The sequence below is a fragment of the Homo sapiens genome, chromosome 1 (genome assembly GCF_000001405.40).
Source record: "Homo sapiens chromosome 1, GRCh38.p14 Primary Assembly".
NCBI classification, from domain to species: domain Eukaryota; kingdom Metazoa; phylum Chordata; class Mammalia; order Primates; family Hominidae; genus Homo; species Homo sapiens.
In genome coordinates this window covers 149,919,819-149,946,711 of record NC_000001.11, presented here as the reverse complement: position 1 = coordinate 149,946,711, position 26,893 = coordinate 149,919,819, and the positions used below count along the sequence as shown (strand labels likewise).

Sequence of the window (26,893 nt, the reverse complement as noted above, 5' to 3'; positions counted from 1 at the left end):
GAAATGCAGTGGCACAATCTTGGCTCACAGCAACCTCCACTTCCCAGGTTCAAGTGATTCTCCTGCATCAGCCTCACGAGTAGCTGGGATTACAGACGTGCGCCACCACACCCGGCTGATTTTTGTATTTTTAGTAGAGACGGAGTTTCACCACGTTGGCCAGGCTAGTCTCGAACTCCTGACCTCAGGTGATCCACCCACCTTGGCCTCCCAAAGTTCTGGGATTACAGGCATGAGCCACCACACCCAGCCCTTTCCTGCTTTTTAAAAACCGTTAGTCTCCTGTTTTCCACATCTCCTCTCCAGCCAGTCTCTGTTATCTGATACTAAAACATATATATATTTTTTGAGACGGAATCTTGCTCTTGATGCCCAGGCTGGAGTGCAATGACACGATCTCAGCTCACTGCAACCTCCACCTCTTGGGTTCAAGCGATTCTCCTGCCTCAGCCTCCCGAGTAGCTGAGATTGCAGGTGCCCGCCACCATGTCCAGCTAATTTTTCTATTTTTAGTAGAGATGGGGTTTCGCCATGTTGGCCAGGCTGGTCTTGTGATCCGCCTGCCTTGGCCCCCGAAAGTGCTGGGATTACAGGCGTGAGCCACCGCGCCTGACCTAAAACATATTATTATTATTATTATTATTTTTCTTTGAGATGGAGTTTCACTCTTTTTGCCCAGGCTGGAGTGCAATGGTGCGATCTCAGCTTATTGCAACCTCCGCCTCCTGGGTTCAAGCGATTCTCCTGCCTCAGCCTCCTGAGTAGCTGGGATTACAGACATGCACCACCACGTCCGGCTAATTTTGTATTTTTAGTAGAGATGGGGTTTCTCCATGTTGGTCAGGCTGGTCTGGAACTCCCGACCTCAGGTGATCCACCCACCTCGGCCTCCCAAAGTGCTGGGATTACAGGCATGAGCCACCGTGCCTGGCTTAACATATTCTTTAAGAAAGGTTTTCTGGACTGTTTGTTGAACTTGAGATGATCATTATTTCGTCCAAAGTCTTCTGTAGATAGACCTCTGTTTTGGGCACTAGGAGACGGAGTAGCTTAAAGAGCTCCTAATTCAGTGGGCTCTGAGTTAGAACAGGAGCACAGGAGTAGGGTCAAATTGATAACTCCAATGCAGAATGTATAAAAGTTGAGGGGATGCAAAGTGGCTAGACTTGGTTAGTTTTGATTAGTCAAGACTTTCTTGAGATTAGTTTCGAGCAGAATTTGGCATAGAGAAATGTATAATAAAGAACATTCTAATGTCTGGGCCTCTCACCCGGAAGCCACGTATCATATGGTTGCTCATTGTTCTAAATGAACAGTAAGGCTTTATTCTACTATCTCCTTATTACAGAAGGGAGTCAGATTGCAGTGGGGGAGAAAGCTGACTGACTGGAACCCAGGAAGGACAGTGCCATCCTGGGTGACCCTTCCCTCATCATGACAGAAGCCCTTCTCTGGAGCAAGGCAGTCACTAGGCAATCACTCAGAGGACGGAGTTCATAGGTGTCCATCCTTTTCTACCTGGCTAATTTCTATAGCCATGGCTGCAGGGAGCTCCCTGAGCCAGATGGATGGGCTAGAGGTCCCTGGGGGATTCCCCCACCCCAGGCTGCTGGGATAACTGTCAACAGTGTTCTTGTCTCTTCCAGGCTCCTCTGGCCCAGCCTGAGTCCCCCACCGCCTCAGCTGGAGATGAGCCCCGGTCCACTCCTGAGTCTGGAGACTCAGACAAGGAGTCAGTTGGCAGCAGTTCCACCAGCAACGAGGGCGGCCGGCGGAAGGAGAAGTCAAAGCGAGATCGGGAGAAGGACAAGAAGAGAGCAGATTCTGTGGCTAACAAACTGGGCAGCTTTGGCAAAACCTTGGGCAGCAAGCTCAAGAAGAACATGGGGGGCCTGATGCACAGCAAGGGTTCAAAGCCTGGAGGGGTGGGGACAGGGTTGGGAGGAAGCAGCGGCACTGAGACACTGGAGAAGAAGAAGAAAAACTCACTGAAGAGCTGGAAGGGTGGCAAGGAGGAGGCAGCTGGGGATGGGCCTGTGTCTGAGAAGCCCCCAGCTGAGTCTGTTGGTAACGGAGGGAGCAAGTATAGCCAGGAGGTGATGCAGAGCCTGAGCATTCTGAGGACTGCCATGCAAGGGGAGGGGAAGTTTATTTTTGTTGGAACCCTGAAGATGGGTCACCGTCACCAGTATCAGGAGGAAATGATCCAGCGCTACCTTTCTGATGCTGAGGAGAGATTCCTGGCAGAACAGAAGCAGAAGGAGGCAGAGAGGAAGATCATGAATGGAGGAATAGGGGGTGGCCCTCCTCCAGCCAAAAAGCCAGAGCCAGATGCTAGGGAAGAGCAGCCGACCGGTCCCCCAGCAGAGTCCAGGGCAATGGCATTTTCCACTGGCTACCCTGGGGACTTTACTATCCCTCGGCCGTCTGGGGGCGGAGTCCACTGCCAGGAACCCCGGAGGCAGTTGGCAGGGGGTCCATGTGTCGGGGGCCTACCACCATATGCCACCTTCCCCAGACAGTGCCCTCCTGGGCGACCCTACCCCCACCAGGACAGCATCCCTTCTCTGGAGCCAGGCAGCCACTCTAAGGATGGACTTCACAGGGGTGCCTTGTTACCACCCCCCTACCGAGTGGCTGATTCCTATAGCAATGGCTACAGAGAGCCCCCTGAGCCAGATGGATGGGCTGGAGGTCTCCGGGGCCTTCCCCCAACTCAGACCAAATGCAAACAACCGAACTGCAGCTTCTATGGACACCCTGAGACAAACAACTTCTGTTCCTGTTGTTACAGGGAAGAACTGAGGAGGAGGGAGCGGGAACCGGATGGGGAGCTCCTGGTGCACAGGTTCTGAACGGGTGGAACACTGAAGGGCAAGGAGGCTAAACAAAGTTAAGCTCAACTAATTGGCTCATCAAGAACACAGTCCCCATGTTGAGGGGGAAAATGCAGTAATGTTTGTGGGAGCCTGGCTGGAAACTTTTAAGTGTGTGCACACAGGAGTGCTGCCAGGCTGGCAAGAGCAGGTCGGGGCTGGATGGCACCTCAGGGGCTGTACTATTCCTCTGCAGAGCTTGACTTGATGAGGTTTGAGGTACAAGGGGAAAAGATGGCGATTCTGTCTTATAACCTCCTGGGTCCCATCCAGGGACCTAAGAGAAAGTAGCAGGGGAAGGTTTGGTGTGTGGGGGTGGGAGGTGGGCAGAAGTCTTGGGGAGGAATGGGCAAAGGAGGTTCTCAGTCAATAAAACCAAAGTTCTTTAGGTTGGGAAAAAGCACATGGTGGAGTGAGAAGTGTGGAGGGGAAGTGGGAAATTGGACACATTTGCTATTGATTTGAATTAAGCTAGAAATTAAGGTTGGATAAATTCTTCCCCTTGAAGGATCTGGAAAGACAAGGCAGTAATGTGTCCTCATGGGTGCCTGTTAGGAGGTGGGGGTAGTTTAAATCCGTTTGTTTAGATGGGAAAGGGAGGAACTTAAGAGGGAAATCCTTTTCCTCTTAAGGTTTATTTCCTTCCAAGCAGTCATATGTCATCTGTTACAGTTTGAGAAGAGATTGCTGATTACCCCCTGTCTTTTCCTCATCTAAGTCTTTAATTGTATTTGTTTAAAGGGAAGAGTGTGGTGAGAACAGCCGTCATGTGTGTTGCATTTTCTCCAGGTGAATTGGGGCAGAGCTGATCTATTTTTTAACCACAGCAATAACCATACGTTGGGGTTTGAGTGCACCTTGGGAGGGGTGGGAGGACAGACATTTTAGCCAGAGGCTGTTTCAAACAAAACCAAAAACCTAAGTAGAGCATTACAGGCCTCTGTGGCTGCTGCGTTTCTGTAGAAAGCAACTTATTTTATTGACTTTTTTTTTTAAGGAAAAGAAATAAAAAGACCCCAGCAAGCAAAAACATTTAAAAAATGATTTTTTTTCCTCCTACTTAAGTGGTTCTTTCTCCCTTTGCTCTACTTTTGGAGAATGAACTTAACATCCCGGCTTCTTTTGTTAAGCCATAGCTGACCTTAATCTGTGGTTAGTTTATTAAAATAATTAAAAATACTTTCTAAGAAGAGATATTTTTGATATTAGGACTGATGTTGAAACATATAGGGGCAATTTATAAAAAGGTAGTTAGAGAAATATATTTTAGTGAACTATAACCACAGAGCACAGATGACTCCCAATGAGCTGATCTGTCTTTAGGTTTCTCCCTTTCCCTGACCCTTCCCTGTTCTCTAGGGGCTGGGAGTGGGGATGCGGACACAGTAGGGGGAGCTCCTTCGCATTTTGCACAAAGCACAAGTCTGAACAGCCTATGCTCTGGCCAGAGCCATTTCTAAGAGCTTTAAACCGGAAGACCTATCCTGGGCCAATTTTCCTTTTTCTTTATATTTTTTTCCGGGAAAAAAAGTCAACTATGCAATTGTATACACTCCCGGGTGCATGTGAAGAAGGGGAATAAGTGTACTTATGTGTCCAGAGTATTAACTGGGGCTGTTTTTCTGTGTTTGGATTTCTCTTTTGAGGTATGTACTCATAACCCATCCCTTGGAACGTAATCCCCACATTTGATCTAAAGCACTTGAGCGTGCATGCATGTGCGTGCGTGCATATGTGTGTGTGTTTTCCTCCTCGGTAGCCAGTCAAGATTGTCCTTGTTGGAAATGCTCACGGTTTATAAAGGTTATTTTCTCCTCAACAAACTCAGAAGTCACCTATTTTCCAAATCTGATTTAATAATTTCCTATGGCTATTAATTCTTAGGGTTTTCTTTGAAAATAGATTTGTGTTAAGGAAGCAGTGAGATTCCAAAGGAAGGGATGTGTATATGTCTAGGCAGGTCTGGAACCTGGTATGAGATGAGCACTCCCCTAAGTTGCAAAATTTAAGGGTTACTATAAAACTCATTAATCAAGATACTATAAAAAATGCAGTATTTAAAAAAATTAATGCAAAAAATTTATGTTGGATAAAATAGCGAAATCTTACAGGATCTGACAGGACTGAGATTAGGAGGAGGGAAGTGAGGCTGAATTGAATAAGTATGGGGATGAATCCTTCTTATTTAAATTTTTGATACATTGTCCATCATAGACTTTTTACATTAATTGTGATTTTTTAAAAATGTTGCATTAAAATAGTATTTATCTTGGTTACTGGGTTTTTTGGCACTCCTTAAATTTTGTGCCCAAGGTGAGTGCTTTGCTCACCTCACCCTAGTTACGTCCCTGTTTCTGTGATTTGAACACTAGCGAGAACACCACTGTGTGCGCCTCCACCCCCATCACACACCAAACAACAGGTGGCTCAGACACCCTGAATTTGCACAGCTCACCTAGCTTTCCTAATTTAGGCCTTCATATCATAGAATGGTGGCCTGGACCAATAGGAATGAAAACAGACCAGGGGTTTTCCCAGAGAATAAAGCCGGAAAAGTTTTGATTCTCCACTGGACTGCTGTGTTTGGATTTGATCTGTTGTTAGATTCTAGTTAACACTTTTGTTTTTAAAAACTAAGGACAAATGAACAAAAAACCTTGTATCATGTTTGTTTTTATTTATAAGTTAGCCAATCCCAATTCCGTTTGCTTTATTTTCAAATAAAAAAAGATGGAAATTTTGAGGGGTGGTCTAGGGGTGAATATGGTAAAATGGGGCTTTAGGCCTTATAGCTTTTTATTAAGAAATAAATTATTTTTTTTATTTGGGAGGGTAACTATTTATTGAGGCATTGAAAAACCTCTCCATTCTAAGGATGAGAGACCCTGAGACAATGGATATTTTTTATAGGAGATAGTGAAGTTTGTTTTGCTTCATTCTTTCGGGGAGGGTCTTGGTGGGATGGGGGGAGGTGAAGGAATAATGCCTGGGAAATTAATATAGATTCAGCTTGGTTTGTGGTATTTTGGGAAGATGAGGGAATAGAAGAGGCAAGCCCATGTCGTTACTGGGTTGGGGAGAAGGAAAGAAGGGGCATATGGCCTGCACTCGAAATGGGCAGAAAAATTCCTTAGTTAAGGAGGGGTGTGTGAGTGAAGGGGGAAGGTAGACCCTTTAACCCCAAGTGAGGGATGATATCATCTCTCAGGCTTAAATTTAAGTGCACTTAGTTCCTTTAATCCAGGGCAACTGGGGTACCTACTGAAGTTTTTAATGGAGAGGGGAGATTTTCAGGGTTCTTGTTTTTCCCTTTTTGATGTTAGACAGTGCTACTCCCTCCCTGCTGTGCTCTCTGCCCCATCTCCAATGGAGTAAGTATTACTGTAGGATAGGCCTCCGCTTCTCCCTTAACCTATGCTGCATTTATTGAAAGTTACAAGATTTAACCAGAAGTTTTTCCTCCATACTGGTTTTTATCAACAAAATAAAAAGATTATATCCAAAGATTTTTTAAAGATTCAGTCTTTTTAAGGAGTGGAGATGGTGTTAAACTCAGTGCTGTAGAGGGCAGTGGAAGGGAAGTACCTTCCCTCTATTAGCTCAGTTTTTTTTTTTCTATCAAGCGAAACTAAGGCCCACAGACAAACAAGAATTAGCAGTGACTTCGTGTTGTATATCTGCGGGGTGATACTGAGCCCAAAAGAATAAAGCTGGTTTTGAATGTGTTCTGAGAACCTAGCTTTTGCCATTCTTAACTCCTTTTAGCCATGTGTCCAAGGTTCCAGTCACATTTTTTTTTCTCAATAAAGAGTATTTCAGAGATGATTGTCTCTGAATTACTCAGACACCTCTGGACTCTGAGTCTTCTTTCTTTTTCCTTTTTCTTTCTTTCTTTTTTTTTTGGTTTGAGACGGAGTCTCGCTCAGCTGCCCAGGCTGGAGTGCAGTGGTGCAATCTCGGCTCACTCCAACCACCGTCTCCTGGGTTCAAGTGATTCTCCTGTCTCAGCCTCCCAGGTGGCTGGGATTACAGGCACCCGCAATCATGCCCGGCTAATTTTTGTATTTTAGTAGAGATGGGGTTTCACCATGTTGGCCAGGCTGATCTTGAACTCCTGACCTCAGGTGATCCGCCAGCCTCGGCCTCCCAAAGTGCTGGGATTACAGGCATGAGCCACCGCGACTGGCCTCTGTGTCTTCCTTCTCCAATGAGTCAGTGCCCCAGACATATAGCCACAGGTGAGAAGACAGAATTAGAAGCCCCTTCCCGGCCTGGAATCACCTGCACTCCAGATTTTTCTAATTTCCTTCTTTCCCTCCAGGCCTTTCAACTATAGATCTGGATGAGTCATGCAGGCATTCTGTCTCTTCTACTTTGCAGACAGCCAGTCTGCAAATCACAGGGTATTTTGCCACCATACATCAGTTGGGTAACAAAATATTACGATGTCCCCATGTAGACTTTCTCTGTGCCATCTCTTGCATTGGCCAAGTGGGTAAGGGGCAGTACAAAAGAGCAACGGAAGCTGGCTGGCAGCAGTTAAGAGGAGTAGGGGTGGGAAGGACCTTGGCCTCTTTCTGTGCTTATAACTGGATCTGTGACTCATCTTGTGAGTCACTCAGCTCCACCTCCCTCCTCCGGCTGCCCCTCCCAGCAGCCTTTACTCCTGGCACAAACCTGCAGCCAGAACAGGATTCTGAAAATGGAAAAATCTGATATAGCCCCTTGCCTCTCCACCCTTCCCTTCATCTAGTGCTTCTACTGGGGGTGTGTGGGGTGGTGAGAGGCAGCCTTAACCCTCAGCTCCTGCCCACTCCATTCCTGGTTAAGTATTGATCCAAATCGCCCAATTCTTTTCTCCTCCTGATTTCCCCCCACCCCGCTTTTTTTTTTTTTTTTTTTTGAGACAGAGTTTCGCTCTTGTCGCCCAGGATGGAGTGCAATGGCGCGATCCCGGCTCACTGCAACCTTCGTCTCCTGGGTTCAAGCGATTCTCCTGCCTCAGGCTCCCGAGTAGCTGGGATTACAGGAGCCTACCACCATGCCTGGCTTAATTTTTTTTTTTTTTTTTTTTTTTAGTTAGAGTCGGGGGTTTCGCCATGTTGGCCAGGCTGGTCTTGAATTCCTAACCTCAGGTGATCCGTGATCCACCCACCTCAGCCTTCCAAAGTGCTGGGATTACAGGCATGAGCCACCACACCCCTACCCCCCGATTTTTTTTCTCCGTGTTCCTCCACTGTCTCCACACCTCAAAGTGCTAAAGAATAGAATGAGGCTCTTGAATGAAGGATGGTGGTGAGAAGGAAAGTGGATAATGGGATTTAAAAGTTATGGTACACACCTCTTCCTATGTCTTTTTTTTTTTTTTTTTTTTTGCGATGGAGTCTTGCTCTGTTGCCCAGGCTGGAGCGTAGTCATTAGATCTTGGCTCACTGCAACCTCTGCTTCCTGGGTTCAAGCGATTCTCCTGCCTCAGCCTCCCAAGTAGCTGGGATTATAGGTGTGAGCCACCACGCCTGGCTAATTTTTGTATTTTCAGTAGAGATGGGGCTTCATCATGTTGGCCAGGTGGTCCTGAACTCCTGACCTCAAGTAATCTGCCTGCCTTGGCCTTCCAAAATGCTTGGGATTACAGGCGTGAGCCACTGCGCCTGGTCCCTATTTTCTTTTTACAACAGACCTTGGGAAATATTTTCTTCCCCCAAGAGGTTGAGGCCCATGGAATGCATTAGGGGCAGGTGGGGTGGTGGTGCTCTGTAGCCTTTAGGACTTCTAGAATCAGGCTTCTGGGCCACCTTCTTAGCAGGTGTATACCTCTTTGTTCCAGACTGACTTTCTGTCTCACAATATCTTCACTATTTCCACAGTTGCAGCCAAGACAGGAAACTGAAAGCTGAGGCCAGAAGGGTGGTGTACTGGGGGGAGGGGAAAATTGAGTGTCACTTTGGAAAACTGGGGCCCCCATCTAAGGATTGCTGCCTCTGTAGATTCAAAAGCAATAAAACAGCAGCTCATTAACTCTTATTTTGTATTTTATTTTCTGTCTTTTTCATGTCTAAATAAAGATTTTTGCTTTGCTGTCCCCAAGTCCCCCTCCTTTAAAGGAGCTGCAGCTCCTTCTCTCCTTGTTCCCAGCTTTCCTTACCCATCTTTGCTTCTAGGGTTGCAGATGGGAGGGACGGGGGATGGACTGCTGAGCTGAAGAGAGGTTTCCAGCCCTCACCTGTGAAAGTCCTGAACATGAATCATTCATTTGGAGATCTGGTGTCTGGGTTGGAGGGGTGGAGTCACATACGGGAATGGGCACTTATTGCCTATTGGTTGTGTATCTACGTGATGGGCAAGATTAACTGGTAAGATCTTTTTGTCCCACCCACATCCCCAAGACTTGCACACAAACTGTACTTGTGTCTGCATCTTGGACACATTTCCATCTCTTTTTATACTTCTCCACTGCAGTCTTCACATGATGTCTGTGTCATGCCCTCTAGAGAAAGATATGCAAAACCACTTTAACCAGTTTCCCTGCTTCCTCACCTAATTCTTGGGCCTCTGCTGACAAAAATCCCCCCAGGTCTAATTTTCATTTTCTTCTGGAAGAGGCGGCAAGGAGGCTTGAACCACTTTCACATTCCTACCCCTCTCCCCGCCCCAAACCCCTTTGAGAAGACAAAAGAACGGAGCTTTTAAGGGAAGTCATCACTGAGACACTCCAGACAGGTAGCCCAGATGATTCCAGCTTCATAATCAATAGAACTGCTCCCCTCAAACGGTCTCCAGTACTCATGAACAGGAAGAGAACAGGGTCTGGGATTGGGGTAAAGAAGGGAGTCGTTTTTCTCTCAGTCCCCATTTCTTCCCCACCCGTCCGTCTCAGACTCCACCGTTTCCTCTCCACTTTTCCAGAATTGTGTGTATTCTCCTTTAAGGGGTTGGGCATCTCTCCCGCCCTCTCCAGAGTCGACTGAAGTTTCCGAGGAGACTTCTCAGGCTGGGCTGGACACACCTTTCCAAGGACCCCCAAACTCTGCTCCGTGCACGTCAAATGCTCCTTTCCCTTGTGTCCAACCCCCTACCCCTCTCCCTAACACCCCTCTTCTCAACAAGACTCAGCCTCTCCCCGAGGTGGGTGAGCATCCTTGAGGTTTCCCACCCTTAACTGCTGTGTCCCCGGATGGAGCCAGAGAAATGTGGTGGGGGGGCCGGGGCCAGAGTTTCAACATTGCCCCCCAGAAGGAGGAGCCAGAGATGGGGGTAAGGAGAAGGAATTTGGGGGGTGTCGGCAAGAGGGTGAGAACGGGGATGAGGTGGAGATAAAAGGGGGAAGCAAAGGCTCTAGAGGAGGAGGAGGAGGGTGTGTCTGTCTATCAGCTTCTGCTGATGGAGCCTGGTCCGTCTTTCTCAGTCTCAAGTTCGTTGTCTCATTATCCATTAACCAGCCCCTCCCTTTACTGTTTACCAGCCCTGTTAGGTCTGGAGCTCCCCACAGACACTGATCTCAGTTTCCCCCGAGAGTGTGAGTGTAGGCCTCTACAGGCAGCTGCCTCTGGGGAGTTGGGGAGCCTAGGGGTTAACTCTAGACCCCCCTCAACCCTCTGGACCAAAGTCTGTCCAGGAAAATAGGATGCCGGAGCCCAGGAGTCGTCAGCCTAGCAGTTGCCTGGCCTCCAGATGCCTCCCAGGTAATAATGCCCTATCACTCTCCAAAGACTTCCAAATTTCATCCTACGCCAATCTTGTTTCATGCCCTCACCAAAGATACCCCTGTGTTCCTCTCGTGGCTCGAAGTACGTCTGCCTGAGGCTCGCTGTCCTCCCTGACAGCCTCTAGAGCTGGCTGAGAGCTGGACCTTGACATTCCTTCTGTTTCCTTGACCCTGTTACCCCTTTTCAAATTTACTTATTCGATACATAGTTAGTGCCTGCTATGTGCCAGGCCTTGTTCTAGGCTCTGTTCTAGTTACAGAAATTAAAAAACATTTATCTTTCCTCATAAGCTTACATTGTAGTGGGCTTTGGGGAGGATTTTAATCTTCCCTATTTAGATCTCCCTTTCTTGGAGGGGTGGGTGTATCCAAGTGTGGGCAACACTGGGAACAGTCATAACAGGGCTTCCCTTCTTCCCCTTTAGGGGAGCAGATCCTAGCATGGGCCCCAGGGGTGAGGAAGGGCCTGGAACCAGAATTGTCTGGAACCCTGATCTGTACCAACTTTAGGGTCACCTTCCAGCCCTGTGGATGGCAGTGGAATCAGGTGAGATGGTTGGGGCCACAGAAATGACAGCTAGTGGGAAATGGGTAGGGGAGTCTAGCAGGATTTAGACAAACATTATGGGTTAAGGGCTGTCTTTTGAATGTATCATTGATAATCAGTGGGAACTCTCTCTAGGGTTGTTGCCCCCTAGAAGGGGTTGGGGCTGCCAGGGTAGGAAAATGAGGGCGATTTCAGATGTCTACCCAGTCACGTGTTTCGTCTAGGACACTCCCTTGAACAGTGAATACGATTTTGCCCTGGTCAACATTGGACGATTAGAGGCTGGTAAGTTGGGGGGGGGTTTGGTGAAGGGGTTCACTGGGGTTGTTGGAACTCCCTCCTCATCCTTCCTCTGTTCTCAGAAAACAGCAGGGATGGAGTGGGATGGGCTGCAAGAGTCCCTTCTGGAGAGACTCTGGTCCATGGTTACACTGTTCTGTACCTCTTGACTTCAGTGAGCGGCTTGTCCCGAGTCCAGCTCCTCCGTCCAGGGTCCCTGCATAAATTTATCCCTGAGGAGATTCTGATTCATGGCCGAGACTTCCGGCTGCTCAGAGTTGGTTTTGAGGCTGGAGGCCTAGAGCCTCAGGCTTTTCAGGTAAGAGGCCCCTAACCTGAGGCTTTCTCCTCACCTCAGAACCTTGGGATCCTCTCCCTGACAATTTCTGAGACTCCTCCAGCCCCTGGGATCCTCTCATCATTCCCCCTGCTTCTCTCAAGGAAAGGCTAAAAGGCTGGGATAAATGATTGCGTGATGAGAGTAAAGAGCCTGCGCTCTAGCCTTACTCTATTAATTACCAGCAGTGTGACTGTGGGCAAGTTTCCTCCTCTGAAAAACCAGGATTCCTCCCAGAATCATCATTCTAGGATTCTGTGGTTCCAGATTTGTTCTCCCGACCCCAGTCCCCATGACCTGAGGAAGCCCCCTTCTCTAGGGACTGTCTTCACTGTTCTTCTTCATTCTTGGCAAAGAGAGTGGAGCAACACATGGGCTCCATTTCCTTCTTTTCACTTACTCAGCCTAAGCCAAAAGGATGGAATGTCCTTTCCTCTGCAGGTGACCATGGCCATTGTCCAAGCCAGAGCTCAGAGCAATCAAGCCCAACAGTATTCGGGGATAACCCTGAGCAAGGCTGGTGAGTGAGAGTGCTTTAGGGTAAGGAAGAGTCTGAAAAAGCAGAGGATGGCTGATGACAAAGAGCTGAGAAGCTGTCTCTGATTTTCTCCTTCCTCCTCTATGTCTCACTCCTGTTCTAGGCCAGGGTTCTGGCTCCAGAAAACCACCAATTCCTCTCATGGAGACAGCGGAAGACTGGGAGACTGAGCGGAAGAAGCAGGCAGCCAGAGGCTGGAGGGTCAGCACGGTCAACGAGAGGTTCGACGTAGCCACCAGGTGATCCCCCAGTGCACCCCAACCCTGCTGCTCTCCCAATCTTCCCTTAGTTCCTTGATCCTCTAAAGCTAGGACTTCCCACAAACTCCAGCCTCCTAGGACACCCACAAAGCTATCTCCCTTGCCTCCTAGATCCCTAAACCTGAAATCCCTTGGAATGGTCCCTCTGAAGCAGCTTCCTTGTAATAAGAGCTTTCCATTATAATGAAGTCACTGAGCCAAACTGTAATATCACTCTCATTTCACAGCCTCCCCCGTTACTTCTGGGTCCCTAACCGAATTCTGGACAGTGAGGTCAGGAGAGCATTTGGCCACTTTCATCAGGGCCGTGGACCGGTCAGTGTGATGGTTAGGGTAATGGCTGTGGATTAGAGGGTCATGTGGGCCAGGGACATCGTGGAGGGAGGAACCTCTGTGAGGTCAGTGTGGGGGCAAGGGTAGCGTGGAGCTAGGCATTTCTCCCACAATGACCCTCTTCTGCCCCATGTGAAGCGCTTGTCCTGGCATCACCCTGGGGGCAGTGATCTTCTCCGCTGTGGAGGCTTCTATACAGCCAGTGACCCTAACAAGGAGGATATCAGGTGAGGGAGGCTTGATGAGAAGAATCAAGGGTTAGGTGCTCAGGGTAGACTCCTTATTTCCTGACTCCCTCCCCTCCAGAGCAGTGGAGTTGATGCTCCAGGCTGGGCATTCAGATGTTGTCCTGGTAGACACTATGGATGAGCTGCCCAGCCTTGCAGATGTCCAACTTGCCCACCTGAGGCTGAGGGCCCTCTGCCTGCCTGGTGAGAATAACCTTTGACCCCTAACCCTCACCCTCACCCCTAGGTCTGCTGAGCCTAACCTGGTTTACCCTTTGCTTGCTGTAGATGAGTAGCTCTTTAGTCCAATGAGCCCGTTTTCTTTTCTTTTCTTTTTTCTTGAGACGGAGTCTCGGCTGGGCATGGTGGCTCACGCTTGTAATCCCACCACTATGGGAGGCCGAGGTGGGCAGATCACTTGAGGGCAGGAGTTCAAGACCAACCTGGCCAACATGGTGAAACCCCGTTTCTACTAAAAATACACACACACACAAAATTAGCTGGGTGTGGTGGCCGATGCCTGTAATCCCAGCTACTTGGAAGGCTGAGGCACAAGAATCGCTTGAACCCAGGAGGCGGGTGAACTGAGAATGTGCCATTGCATTCCAGCCTGGGCGACAAGAGTGAAACTTGTCTTAAAAAAAAAAAAAAAGGCAGATGAGACGGAGTCTCCCTCTGTGGCCCAGGCTGGAGTGCAGTGGCGTGATCTCGGCTCACTGCAACCTCCAACTCCCATGTTCAAGCGATTCTCCTGCCTCAGCCTCCTGAGTAGCTGGGATTACAGGCGCCTGCCACCATGCCTGGCTAATTTTTGTATTTTTAGTAGAGACGAGGTTTCACCATGTTCCCCGTGTTAGACTAGGCTGGTCTCAAACTCCTCAGATGATCCACCCACCAAGGCCTCCTAAAGCGCTGGGATTACAGGCACAAGCCGTCGTGCCCGGCCAGTGAGACTGTTTTCTACTCACCTCCCACCTCTCCCACCTCTCCCACAGACTCACTGGTTTCCTGTCTTCTTGACCCCAATTTATTCTTTAAACAGCTTTATTGAGACATAATGTACATACCATAAAATTTACCCTTCACTGAAGTATACAATTCAGTGAGTTTTATTATATTTACAATGTTGTACAACCATCACCACAGTTTAATTTTAGAAACCATCCTGGCCATTTACAATTACTTTTCATTCCTGTTCTTAACCCAGCAGGCTATCAACCTGAATCCTGAATCCTGAGTTCTAATCTCTTGCCCTTCTGATCTTTCTACCCTCTATCAGATTCATCTGTAGCTGAGGATAAATGGCTTTCAGCCCTGGAAGGAACACGATGGCTGGACTATGTCAGGTACTCCCTCGCTTCTTCTAGCCATCATTTATAATTCAACCTTCCTCAACCTTCTGTTAACTTGGGGTCCTAAATGGCCTTTCTTTAGTTCTTCTCCTCGGTTTCCCAAGAAGACTGCCATTTTCTGCTCTTTAGAAGGAGGAGGGGTAGGATTTGGAGTCGGCCTTATTCCATCCCATGACCCATCAAAATCACTCCATTCCCCTAGGCTTATCATTCTTCCTCCCTCTTCCTCACCTGCTCCTCCAGGGCTTGTCTTCGAAAGGCCAGTGACATTTCAGTATTAGTGACATCCAGGGTTCGTTCTGTAATACTTCAAGGTGAGTTCCTTGGTTAAGCCCATTCCATTCCTTGCCTCTTTTCTTTACCCACCTGACCAGATTGCATTCAGGGAGGGAGACCCATAAGGCTTCTTCCTCTCCTGTTCCTGGGAACTACCTGCGAGCTCTACTCTCATCCTTCAGTGCTACCTCTGCCTCCCCATCACAACTTGTGGTCCCTGACACTAGGATGGTCTTAGCCCCTTTGTTCCTTTCCTTCCATCAGCGGATGGAGACTGGGGTTGGGGTGGGAAGGGCAGTGTGGAAGCTGGTTTGAGAATTGTGATTCTGCCCCTTACATGTGAAACTGGGTATTTCTATCCGGGTGGAGTCCAGGAAGTGAATCATTCAAGGTCTTTGTTTTCTCTTCACTTCTATGTGCTTTCTCAATCCTCCTACCCCAAACCTTTCCCCTCTGTGCCTCTCACTTCTCCTTGCCGTATTTCTCTTCTCATTCTCTTCTGCCCTAGTTTCTTGGACCCCTCTTCTTTGTCCCTTCTTCCTCTTTATCACCCAGAGCGCGGTGATCGTGATCTCAATGGCCTCCTCTCTTCACTCGTCCAGCTGCTTTCAGCCCCCGAAGCCCGAACACTGTTTGGCTTCCAATCACTAGTACAGCGAGAGTGGGTGGCAGCTGGACATCCCTTCCTGACTCGGCTTGGGGGAACTGGGGCCAGTGAAGAGGTGAGAATGATTCGGGATGGCATCGGGGGCATATTACTAAGGAAGTAAGAGAATGAGAAATTATTTTGTATAATCCATTGGAGGTGAATCCGGTCAGAAGGGCCCCGAGGTTAGGCTGGGACGAAGATCCTGATGAGTGAGGCCTTACAAGCCCCTGCTACCCTCAATTCAGATTTTCATTCCCTGACTTCCATAAGTTCCCCCTATTCCCTGTGTTCCCCATTCCCTTATCATCTCGTCATCCTCCCTCTTTGGGTCCCAATAATCCCTTCCAACCTCTTAATTTCTTTTCAGGCTCCGGTGTTTCTCCTCTTCCTTGATTGTGTCTGGCAGCTCCTCCAGCAGTTTCCAGCTGATTTTGAATTCTCTGAGTTTTTCCTTCTTGCTCTTCATGACAGTGTCAGGGTTCCTGACACCCTTACCTTCCTGAGAAATACCCCCTGGGAGCGCGGAAAGCAGAGCGGACAGGTCAGTGACTTCTATTTTTGACTCGTGTTTTTTTTTCCATTGAGATGTACTCTCTGAAGTTTGGTCTTGATTTGTTTTATGAGAAGTGAGGTCTGTGAGTGGGGAGGGGGAGATTTATTCTCATTTTCAGGACGAGACTTTTGCCCTACATCTTTCCTAGAATAAGAGGTGAGAATCTCATGATTTGTCTCTAGATGTGGGAGGATTGTGTGTAACCATCCTTTTTCTTGCTTCCTCTGTCCAGTTAAACTCCTATACACAAGTCTACACCCCAGGATACTCCCAGCCTCCAGCTGGGAACTCTTTTAACCTGCAGCTGTCTGTCTGGGACTGGGATTTACGTTATAGCAATGCACAGATACTACAATTCCAGAATCCTGGCTATGACCCAGAACACTGTCCAGATTCCTGGCTCCCTAGACCACAGGTGAAGTGTCTAAACTTCCTAAATTCCCTTGACGTTCCCACAGGCTCATGCTACTAGACAGTGAGAAGTGAAAGACAAAATGTCTTGAGTTCCTTAGGGAAAGCTACTCCACTACTCTTCTGCAGCTGTCACTTATAGTCCCTGGGTGTCCCTAGGAAGACAGAAGACCTAGAATAGCACAGAGGGCACCCTTTTTGTCCTTCCTCAAGTCTGTTTACTCATCTTCCTGTCTCGTGCACACATAAGGTGCCCTAAAATCAACCTTAATCAGTCCCGAGGCCTAGTTGAAGCCTAATGAGGAGGGTAGAAGAGTTCTCATGGGGAGGCTTGTAGTTCTAGTCACCAGTGCAGTGAGTGGGTGGCAGCAGGACACCCTGTCCTGATCCAGATTGGGGAAACTAGGGTTATCTGGTCTCTCTGTTGCCAGTTGATTTTCTTTTCCTTTTAGCCAAGCTTCATGGTTCCTGGACCCCCCAGTTCTGTGTGGCTCTTCTCTAGAGGAGCATTGACCCCCCTGAATCAGCTCTGTCCTTGGCGGGACAGTCCTTCCCTGCTGGCAGTCTCTTCTCGTTGGCTCCCTCGACCTGCTATCTCCTCTGAAAGCCTGGCTGACCAGGAATGGGGTCTCCCCTCACATTGGGGAGCTTGCCCTTTACCTCCAGGGCTGCTGCTGCCTGGGTATCTGGGACCCCAGATCAGGCTCTGGAGACGCTGCTACCTGAGGGGAAGGCCTGAGGTCCAGGTAAGAAGGGAAAATAGACTGGGAGTGGGACAAGGGACTTGACTCTGCTGAACCAGATGAACAGGAGCTGGAAAGGCAAGGAGCTGAAGCCTCTGGGAGTCTGGGAAGTGAAGTTCTACTCCTCTTGGCATCAAACAAGGTTTGGGAGTGTAGGAGGTGCGGGAAAGTGCTTGTGGCTTAGATTAAGTGGAATTTAGGGCATAGCTGAAAGGGGAAACAGAATTAAAGACACCAGAAGTAGCAGAGAAGCAGGGGGCCAGAGCTACAACAGTATTCTTCTCTGTTCCTCTTTGCCTCCTCCCCAGATGGGCCTCTCAGCTCCCACAATCTCTGGCCTCCAGGATGAGCTATCCCATCTTCAGGAGTTATTACGGAAATGGACACCAAGAATATCTCCTGAGGATCACTCCAAGAAAAGAGATCCACATACCATTCTCAATCCCACTGAAATTGCTGGCATTCTCAAAGGCAGGGCAGAGGGGGATCTGGGGTAGAGGAGGGTTCTGTCTAATCTTTTTTTTTTTTTTTTGTATCTGCACTTGCAGCCTCAGCTTTCACACTTCAGCCCTTAAGTTCACTAAGAAGGTCTGAGTTTCTGCTGCAGATAGTGGTGTTAACTGCTCCAACTCTTGTCTTGCTTAGTTTCTACAAATATTTTTGCTTCTTGTCATTTGAAGGATTAAGAAACAAAAACAATCCAGAAATTGATCGGTTTTTTTAGGCCAATCCCATCCCTTCTGGATAACCAGATGTTAAATCATGAGATCAGAGATGCTGTTCATCAGTCCCAACAAGATGGCCTAGAAATCGCATTCTCACCTCGCCTTGCTGCTGCTTTAATTCCAAGTTCTATTTCTTCCCTTATAGTTTTCTATGGGAATGAGGCGGATACAGGAAACACCCTATCTCCTCTGTATTTTTGTAGTGGAATTTCTATTTAAGGGGCTCATTAAAGCATAGTATTTATACACATTGCTGGCATTGTTTCTTGTGTTTGAATAAAGGATTCTCCTAGGTAGGAAAGTGGTGGGTAAAAGGGGTGTATGACCCAAGAGAGGAAGGCATCCACCATATTATTGCTAAGGAAATAGGGGAACTGGGTTTGGTGAGGCTCTGCAAAATTCAAGTGCAATTTGGGGAAAGGGTTCTCTTGTGTGTGTCTCCCATTTAGAGGCAGATGGGGCCAGAGTGTTCTAGAGATCCAGACTCTAGAGCTCCGATCCCATCCACCCCTCAGCTGTGGTCACACACCAACGCGGAGCAGCCCTCACCCTCCCCATGCAATTAGGACGAGGTGAGCGCAGACGTCACTCTAAGCTCAGACATTTCGCAGTCTCCTCCCCTGAGGGAAAACCAAATACCTCCAGCCCAAATCAGGGTTGTGAGGCCAAATCTGCAAGAAGGCTGCAGGCGAGAGGGAAGGCTCCCTCTGCGCCTGAAAGCCCCCAAGTCCTCGGGTTGGGGGGAACTCTTCAGCACATCCTTCTCTGGACAACAGAAGAAGAATCACTGTCCACAAAATATATTAAAACTGAAATTTTTGTTCTTTTAGCTTTCGAATTTACACTTTTGAGAGCAGTGTGATTCTTTCAAGTCTAGCAGTGCATTAAGAGGGCCTGAGCGTTTCCGTTCCGCCCTCCTCGCTAAGACAACTAGCAGCGGCACCTCAGGACGCGAGCCGAGGACTCTACCGCCCGACCCAGGTTAAGTTTCGGAGGCTCCTAAGATGGCTGCAGCCGCTTCCAGGCACCTCCTCTTCCGCGGCCCCGCCCACCGCTACGTCCGTCTTCGCCCCGGAAGTGGAAGTCGTGCTGAGGTCAGAAGGCGGAACCGCTGCTGGGAGACGGCGGGATCTCTTTCGCCATGGCTGCCGGGCCGATCTCCGAGCGGAATCAGGGTAACTGGAGGGGGAAAGTCTGGAATGGGCTCAGCGTGGCTAGGAGGCCCCGACTACAGCCAGCAGTGTCTCTGCAGGGGTGGGAGACTGGACTCCTCCCTTCCCCAGAGGGCGCGAGACCGGCCCTCTGCCTGTTGGGGGCGGGGTGGCCGGGTGCTGGCTGAGGCCTCTGGGTGTGATACTTAAGTCCGGTCCCCTGCTGACTTCTCACTCAAAAAATCAAAAAAACCCACTCACAATACTAAATTAGACTTCAGAGGATTCCCGAAGTCCTGGGAAGAGAGAAGTTTAAGGGTTTAAACTTTTTTTTTTGCTCCTGTCCCCTACCGCGGTCCCCAGTTCCCCTGGTTGGGTTCCATCTTCATGTTTCCATCACTTCCTTCCTTCCCGTTACACTCTCACGCTTGCTCTTTTTGCTCCCTCCCTTCAAGATGCCACTGTGTACGTGGGGGGCCTGGATGAGAAGGTTAGTGAACCGCTGCTGTGGGAACTGTTTCTCCAGGCTGGACCAGTAGTCAACACCCACATGCCAAAGGATAGAGTCACTGGCCAGCACCAAGGTGAGTACATGACAAGGGGCGAATTGCTCCCGGAGGGTCCCAGCAGTATTCACAACTGTTTTGGAATAACATGAGCAACCTAAAGATTTTTTTCTTTTAAGCCTCTCTTCAGTTTATTTCTGGAACCATTCTTAAGTAAAGTGATGTTGTTTCTTTCTTGTTCTTTGTGATTAGAGGGTAGATGAATTTTACCCCATTTTCAGTCTCTTTACTTACGTTGTTAACCTCCTCTTCTCCACTTTTCCAGGCTATGGCTTTGTGGAATTCTTGAGTGAGGAAGATGCTGACTATGCCATTAAGATCATGAACATGATCAAACTCTATGGGAAGCCAATACGGGTGAACAAAGCATCAGCTCACAACAAAAACCTGGATGTAGGGGCCAACATTTTCATTGGGAACCTGGACCCTGAGATTGATGAGAAGTTGCTTTATGATACTTTCAGCGCCTTTGGGGTCATCTTACAAACCCCCAAAATTATGCGGGACCCTGACACAGGCAACTCCAAAGGTTATGCCTTTATTAATTTTGCTTCATTTGATGCTTCGGATGCAGCAATTGAAGCCATGAATGGGCAGTACCTCTGTAACCGTCCTATCACCGTATCTTATGCCTTCAAGAAGGACTCCAAGGGTGAGCGCCATGGCTCAGCAGCCGAACGACTTCTGGCAGCTCAGAACCCGCTCTCCCAGGCTGATCGCCCTCATCAGCTGTTTGCAGATGCACCTCCTCCACCCTCTGCTCCCAATCCTGTGGTATCATCATTGGGGTCTGGGCTTCCTCCACCAGGTAAAGCTTTTGGTTAAAATATGTTTGTCTTAAGGTTGGGGGAGAGGGTCAGGAGGAAGAAGAAAACAAGTCTGAAAGGGGGACAGGGGACATTGAGTCAGTGAGTTGATGGGAAGAGGACTGAGGGGTGATGGTAGTGGTGAAGAAGAAAGTTGTTGGGTTTCTTTAGGAGGGTGAAGTTGGTTGACTTTTCTAACATTGCTTTTGATTTTAGAGCACTGGGAGGAGGGGGAAAGAGCTCACCCTGCCTGGAGAGGCCAGATCAGGACAGGCTCTTTAAAGACATTTTCTCCTCACTACCATTAACTCTTCCTTTTTCCATTTCCTCTATAGGCATGCCTCCTCCTGGCTCCTTCCCACCCCCAGTGCCACCTCCTGGAGCCCTCCCACCTGGGATACCCCCAGCCATGCCCCCACCACCTATGCCTCCTGGGGCTGCAGGACATGGCCCCCCATCGGCAGGAACCCCAGGGGCAGGACATCCTGGTCATGGACACTCACATCCTCACCCATTCCCACCGGGTGGGATGCCCCATCCAGGTAGGTGTGCTTTGTTGGGAAAGGGAGGGAAGAGCTTGGTAGAGCATCTCTGTTACCACTCACCCTGCTGCCCTTTGTTCCTCAACAGTAACAGTTTCAGAGTTTTCCTTTCCTTCAGACATTCTATTATAAAAACATACAAAATGCTCTCTAACATCTACCACCCTGAATCCATTTCTTAAGTTTTTCTGACAAGTAGACTCTACTTGCCAGTTTTTATTTCTTTAATCTTTAGTTCCATTCTCTTCTCTGACTCCACCTCAAAGTGGTGACCTAATTGCCAAATCTCGGGGACGCTTCTGCTCCTTATCTAGTTTGACCTCTGATATACTTGAAACTAGTTGTGTCCTCCTGTTTGAAATTCTTGTCTCTTTTTGCTTTTGCTTTTCTAGATCCTCCACCCCTCTCTCTGACTTCTTAATCTCAGCTACCGTGATAGACTCATGTCTACTTGTGCCTAGATTTTTGTGCTTGTTTCTCTTTTCTGCATATATCTATAGTTTTAATTGGGTATATACTGATGCCTCCTAGGTCTGTATCTCTAGTCCGTAGCTGTTGATATTCCAGATCCTTGATGCTGCTGCTTAATAGATAGCGTCATTTTTCTATCCCTCTCCTTCAAATCCATTCTTCTTCTAGTGTTCTTTTTTTTCAGGTGCTTAATTCATGAATCTGAGAGCTATGTTTGACTGCTCCCTATCACCCCACTCTTAATACCAAGTCTTATTTGTATCAGTGGCATCTCTCCCCATGGCCAGTGCCCTAGTTCAGTCTCTCATTGCCTCATTATTTTACACTTAATTTGTTGTAGTAATCTCTTGCCACTTTGACTCCAGTTTTCCCTAACTTTGATCTACTTTCACAGTGTAGGTCTTTTAAGACACAGATGTGCACACACTTGCTCAGAATTCCTCTGTTGCTCCCTTTGACCTACAGAGTAAAACCCAAACTCATTACCATAGCATTCACAGCTCTTTATGATCTGGCCCCTGCCCCTCATTTCTATAACTGCATTTTGCTCCTGATTACTGAGTTAACTGGCATTTCCTGGAACATACTGTGCTGTTTGCCACACCTGTGACTTGCACATGGTAATCTTTCTGCTTGGATGCTTTCTTCCCATGATCTTATCCTCCTGAAGTATTCATCCTTTAGAATTAGATCTTTGCTTAGACAGTTATGTCCTCTGCTACTTTCTCAAATCCTATCAACAGAGTTATTACTCCACTTGTTATATACTTCATCATTACTATTACAGTACCTAAATCATGGAAGAAGCAAGCAAATAGGGTAAGGAGTTGATTGAGTAATTGGTTGATTGGTTGGTTTGTGCTGTTGGAATAGGGTCAAGGATAGGGAGCACTTTTTACCACCCTTCTTTTTTTATTTTTATTTTTTGGTGATGGGGTCTCACTCTGTCATCCAGGCTGGAGTGCAGTGGCGTAGTTTTGGCTCACTGTAGCCTTGACGTCCCAGGCCCAAGTGATCCTCCCACCTCAGCCTCCTGAGTAGCTGGGAATAGAGGCACACACCACCATGCCTGGCTAATTAAAAGTATTTTTTGATAGAGCTGGGGTCTCACTATGTTGCCCAGGCTGTTCTTGAACTCCTGGGCTCAAGTGATCCACCTAGGCCTCCCAAAGTGCTGGGATTATTGGCATGAGCCACTGTGCCCAGCCAGCCTTATTTTCTATACCCTTTTTTCTATATAGTTCTCTTTCTGATGTCACTTTCTTTCTAATTTTGTTTTCTTCCTTTCTCTATTTTCTTTGCCTCCTTCTCTTTGTCTCTTTTCTTCTTGTGTCTATTTTATTTTCATAGGGATGTCTCAGATGCAGCTTGCACACCATGGCCCTCATGGCTTAGGACATCCCCACGCTGGACCCCCAGGCTCTGGGGGCCAGCCACCGCCCCGACCACCACCTGGAATGCCTCATCCTGGACCTCCTCCAATGGGCATGCCCCCCCGAGGGCCTCCATTCGGATCTCCCATGGGTAAGTCGGCTCTAGCCACCTCCCTCATCTGCACTTATCATGTTCTTACAGCTTCCTGTAGGCACACCCCTTGTCCCGTGCCCTTACTAACTTTTCTTTTACTCTTTGCAGGTCACCCAGGTCCTATGCCTCCGCATGGTATGCGTGGACCTCCTCCACTGATGCCCCCCCATGGATACACTGGCCCTCCACGACCCCCACCCTATGGCTACCAGCGGGGGCCTCTCCCTCCACCCAGACCCACTCCCCGGCCACCAGTTCCCCCTCGAGGCCCACTTCGAGGCCCTCTCCCTCAGTAAATTCACATTTTCCTTCCTCCTGTTACATTTTCCCAATATCTTTTCTATTCCTTGGACCAATCAGAGATGCTGTAGCTCCTTGGGGCAAAGGTACTAATCCCTTTCAGCACCCCCACTCCATTCCCCTTTTTAATGTAACTTTTTCCACAGGAGGTATTTCTTTTTTATGTTGGTCCTGAGTATTTTGCAAATGCACAGAGAAAATAAAACTAAACTCCTTGTTTATTTGTGGTGTTTTCCTTGACAACAGTAACTTTTCTCTTTTTCTTTTAAGAAGAGATGTCAGTATCATGAAAAGAATGGTAAGGTAGGAGTAGGAGCAAGGGTGCTTACTCCACATTTTAAAGGCTTATTCTGTAATGTGCTGTTGCAGTTGCTGAGCTTTGCTGTGCACTAGAGTAATTGTTTCCTTACGTAGAGCTTATCTTCTAGTTTGGAAGATAGGGACCCAATATATATAGCATAGGATCGTCATTTTTTTTGTTTCTTTTTTTTATTTGGAGACACGGTCTTGCTCTGTTGCCTAGGCTGGGGTGCAGTGGCACGATCATGGCTCACTGCAGCCCCAACCTCCCAGGCTCAGGTGATTCTCCCACCACAGCCTCCCAAGTAGCTGGGACCACAGGTGTGTGCCACCACACCCAGCTAATTTTTGTATTTTTTGTAGAGGTGAGATTTCGGCATATTGCCCAGACTGGTTTTGAACTCCTGGGCTCAAGCGATCACCCCTGCCTCAGCCTCCCAAAGTGCTGGGATTACAGACGTGAGCCACCTCACCCAGCCGGACTATTGTTTTAAAGTGAACAGATGTATCTGGAGATAGTCTGGCAAAAATGAAGTAACATGCACTATGCAATTCATTGCAGCACTGTTATAATGGCAGTAGATTGGAAACTCACATCTCCATCAGTAAAGGGACGGTTGAATAAACTGATAAATTCATGCAGCAGAGTACTGTGCAGCTGTAAAAAGGAATGTAAAAAAAGCTTTAAAAAGGATCTCCAAGTGAAGATCTCTACGTACTGCTGTGGAGAGATCTCCAAGTGAAGAAAATAATGTGTGTAGTGTGCTACCTTCTCTAAGGGTAGCATATATATATATATATGTATTAACGTTTTTAAAAATGGGTAAACCAGCTACTCAGGAGGCTGAGGCAGGAGAATCACTTGAACCTGGGAGGCGGAGGCTGCAGTGAGCCGAGATCACGCCATTGCACTCCAGCCTGGGCGACAGAGCGAGACTCTGTCTCAAAAAAAAAAAAAAAAAAAAAAGGATAAACCAAATACTAATGGAAATTGATAACACTGGGGAGGGAGTGGATATTGAGGGAAGCTGGATTCTCTGAGTATACTGTGTTAATGTGTTTTTCATTTGGAACAATATAGATGTCTTACATAATTACAAAACAAAATGAGTAAATGGAGACAGTAAATGTTCCATACGTGTTCCATTTTGTTCTGTTCCTACAGATGTCTGTAAACAGTCATCTCAGATAAGGAGTTTGTATTTCAATTTTTTTTCTCATTTCTCAGTCCTTCCAAACTTGATTTTCATCACGTGTAAATCTCAGTTTAAAGACTTTTCAGTAGACCAAATCCAATGGCCTTTTTCTCCCCCATGTTCTTTGCCACATTAATCCTGTTAAGTCACCCCTTCCTTGAAGTGCCCTCTGGCTTATGTAACTGTGAACTTTACTAAATTCTAGGCAAGAAGTGAGCATGGCCCCCTTGTTCTCGTCCATCATTCTCATTAACATTTTTATGGTACCTGCAAAGGATGTCTGTTGGTGGCAGCTGAGGATTCAAAGATAAGCAAGGCAGTTCTGCTGTCAAAACTGACACATAAGAGATTGTTAATGAAACAAAATATTTTGAGAGCAGGAAGAAAGTTACCTATTCTGGCATGAAAGTCCAGGAAAACGGCCAGGCACAGTGGCTCACGCCTGTAAGCCCAGCACTTTGGGAGGCTGAGGCGGGCAGACCACCTGAGGTCAGGAGTTCGAGACCAGCCTGGGCAACATGGTGAAACTCCGTCTCTACTAGAAATACCAAAAATTAGCCAGGTGCAGTGGTGGGCGCCTGTAATCCCAGCTACTCAGGAGGCTGAGACAGGAGAATCGCTTAAATCTGGTAGGTGGAGGTTGCAGTGAGCCGAGATCAAGCCATTGCACTCCAGCCTGGGCAACAAGAGCGAAACTGTCCCCCACCTCCCACCTTAAAAAAAGAAAAGTCCAGGAAAACTTCCTGGGAAAAAGGTGATACCTGCATTTAATCTTCAAGGAAGGATAGACCTTTCCCAGGCAAGGAGAAATTCAATCCAGGTGGATGGGATGTTTCTGAGGAGAAACAGATTGATAAATAGCATGGTGTATAATGCACTAGAGCTGTTTGGGATTGGAGGCAGGCTGAGGTCAGAGCCAGTTAGGGAGCTCCCAAAAACCATTTTTCAGCCCTTTTTCACATCATGGCAGGGAACCATTTGAAACAAAATTGAGGTAAGGGGAGGCAGCTGCTTCAGCCTGGAGGCTGTTGGCTCGGAAATTCTAGCTGCCCCAGTTTGATATGCTTATTAGATGTTCGTGTGGTGATATTGAATAGACAGAGATTTTGAGTCTGGGCTTGATGGGAAGGTCTGGACTGCAGATATAAATGGGAATCATCAGCATATAGGCAGTATTAAAGTCGGGACTGCCTGTGGTGAGCAAGAAGAGAGTAGAAGGCTTCCCGCCCCTGGGACTGAGCCCATAGGAACTCTAAAATTAAATGGCCCCAGCAAAGGGGACTACAAAGGAGTGGTTGGTGGGACAGGGCACTGGCACCTGGGGGAAAATGATGAGGTCTTCCCTCAGAACTTGAAAATATATACAGTCATTTGTGTATTCTCAAGGGATTGGTTCCAGGACCCTCCACAGATAATCAAAATTCACAAATGCTCAAATCTCTTATATAAAATGGCACATTTGCATATAACCTAGGCACATCCTCCAGTGTGTTTTAAATCATCTCTAGATTACTTGTGACACCTAATGCAGTGTAAATACTATGCAAGTAGTTGTTATACTGTATTGTTTAGGAAATAAATGTCAAGAGGAGAATGTCTATACATGTTCAGTACAAATGCAACCATCATAGGCCTAACTACATTTTCCATCCACAGTTGGTTGAATCCATGGATGCCAAACCCATGGATATGGAGGACTGATGGTATAAGTTTTCACTCTAAAAGTATGCAAGATTTCTATTTTAGCAAATAAGGTATCAGTGGAGAGTAGGCAAAGTCACCTTAAAGGGAAGAAATGGCTCCCTGCTGGCCAAATGCTCTCCTGCTGGACTTGGCTATAACCTAATTGAAAATGTTAACATATTTGGCTGGGTGCGGTGGCTCACGCCTGTAATCCCAGCACTTTGGGAGGCAGAGGTGAGTGGATCACTTGAGGTCCGGAGTTCGAGAGCAGCCTGGCCAACACGGTGAAACCCTGTCTCCATTAACAATACAAAAGTTAGCCAGGCGCAGTGGCTCACGCCTGTAATCCCAGCACTTTGGGAGGCTGAGGCGGGCGGATCACAAGGTCAGGAGATCGAGACCATCCTGGCTAACACAGTGAAACCCCGTCTCTCCTAAAAATACAAAAAATTAGCCGGGTGTGGTGGCGGGCACCTGTAGTCCCAGCTACTCGGGAGGCTGAGGCAGGAGAATGGCATGAACCCGGGAGGCGGAGCTTGC

At 47.8% G+C, this 26,893-nt stretch overlaps 3 protein-coding genes across 21 annotated transcripts in view, besides 4 other annotated features; all 3 read left to right on the top strand.

Moving 5' to 3' along the window:
- The window catches only part of OTUD7B (OTU deubiquitinase 7B), a 129,842-nt gene extending 120,942 nt beyond the window's left edge, over positions 1-8,900 (top strand). For all 12 annotated transcript variants that reach the window (XM_047425721.1, XM_047425716.1, XM_047425712.1 and 9 more), the window contains one exon: positions 1,647-8,900. In XM_047425721.1, the coding sequence (XP_047281677.1) occupies positions 1,647-2,855 (1,209 nt within the window). In that variant the 3' untranslated portion in view covers positions 2,856-8,900. The remainder of the gene's footprint in view (positions 1-1,646) is intronic.
- Positions 7,616-7,675: an enhancer, noted in NCBI's record as "active region_1667". NCBI's record gives its function as "activates an Ori minimal core promoter by ATAC-STARR-seq in GM12878 lymphoblastoid cells {active_cell/tissue: GM12878}" and the evidence as "EXISTENCE:reporter gene assay evidence [ECO:0000049][PMID:35858748]".
- Positions 8,901-9,832: 932 nt separating the features above from the next.
- Positions 9,833-18,061, top strand: MTMR11 (myotubularin related protein 11). 8 transcript variants are annotated; one of them, XM_047441008.1, is made up of 17 exons: positions 9,833-10,130; positions 10,483-10,558; positions 11,092-11,128; positions 11,353-11,413; positions 11,584-11,726; positions 12,186-12,264; positions 12,386-12,521; positions 12,770-12,857; positions 13,014-13,102; positions 13,182-13,306; positions 14,382-14,448; positions 14,698-14,768; positions 15,286-15,452; positions 15,747-15,920; positions 16,165-16,347; positions 16,796-17,089; positions 17,395-18,061. In XM_047441008.1, the coding sequence occupies exons 2-17, from the start codon at positions 10,548-10,550 to the stop codon at positions 17,581-17,583; spliced, it is 1,914 nt and encodes a 637-aa protein (XP_047296964.1). In that variant the 5' UTR covers positions 9,833-10,130; positions 10,483-10,547; the 3' UTR covers positions 17,584-18,061. The 8 variants fall into 8 exon arrangements, 7 of the variants coding, with proteins under 7 accessions (XP_047296964.1, NP_001139334.1, XP_024308346.1 ...); NM_001145862.2 differs by having other exon boundaries at positions 11,007-11,128; NM_181873.3 differs by lacking the exon at positions 9,833-10,130 and having other exon boundaries at positions 10,339-10,558; positions 17,395-17,557; positions 17,811-18,061.
- Positions 10,043-10,567: an enhancer, noted in NCBI's record as "H3K27ac-H3K4me1 hESC enhancer chr1:149908038-149908562 (GRCh37/hg19 assembly coordinates)". NCBI's record gives its function as "activates a minimal SCP1, AML or CMV promoter by ChIP-STARR-seq in naive H9 embryonic stem cells {active_cell/tissue: H9 hESC(naive)}" and the evidence as "EXISTENCE:reporter gene assay evidence [ECO:0000049][PMID:30033119]".
- Positions 17,529-17,598: an enhancer, noted in NCBI's record as "active region_1666". NCBI's record gives its function as "activates an Ori minimal core promoter by ATAC-STARR-seq in GM12878 lymphoblastoid cells {active_cell/tissue: GM12878}" and the evidence as "EXISTENCE:reporter gene assay evidence [ECO:0000049][PMID:35858748]".
- Positions 18,733-19,112: an enhancer, noted in NCBI's record as "active region_1665". NCBI's record gives its function as "activates an Ori minimal core promoter by ATAC-STARR-seq in GM12878 lymphoblastoid cells {active_cell/tissue: GM12878}" and the evidence as "EXISTENCE:reporter gene assay evidence [ECO:0000049][PMID:35858748]".
- Positions 18,909-23,395, top strand: SF3B4 (splicing factor 3b subunit 4). Its single transcript, NM_005850.5, has 6 exons — positions 18,909-18,986; positions 19,418-19,546; positions 19,794-20,336; positions 20,670-20,876; positions 22,698-22,871; positions 22,983-23,395. Exons 1-6 carry the CDS (start codon positions 18,953-18,955, stop codon positions 23,168-23,170), a joined length of 1,275 nt encoding a protein of 424 aa, NP_005841.1. The 5' UTR covers positions 18,909-18,952; the 3' UTR covers positions 23,171-23,395.

What these genes read in the sequence shown, in the direction of transcription:
- MTMR11 (NM_001145862.2), top strand. Translation starts at nt 10,065, where the DNA reads ATGTGGTGGGGGGGCCGGGGCCAGAGTTTCAACATTGCCCCCCAGAAG. An exon ending in CGATGGCTGGACTATGTCAG is followed by an intron (nt 14,449 to 14,697) that starts GTACTCCCTCGC and finishes CTGCTCCTCCAG; the next exon opens with GGCTTGTCTTCGAAAGGCCA. An exon ending in TCGTTCTGTAATACTTCAAG is followed by an intron (nt 14,769 to 15,285) that starts GTGAGTTCCTTG and finishes TTTATCACCCAG; the next exon opens with AGCGCGGTGATCGTGATCTC.
- SF3B4 (NM_005850.5), top strand. Translation starts at nt 18,953, where the DNA reads ATGGCTGCCGGGCCGATCTCCGAGCGGAATCAGG. An exon ending in GATCTCCGAGCGGAATCAGG is followed by an intron (nt 18,987 to 19,417) that starts GTAACTGGAGGG and finishes CCTCCCTTCAAG; the next exon opens with ATGCCACTGTGTACGTGGGG. An exon ending in AGTCACTGGCCAGCACCAAG is followed by an intron (nt 19,547 to 19,793) that starts GTGAGTACATGA and finishes CCACTTTTCCAG; the next exon opens with GCTATGGCTTTGTGGAATTC.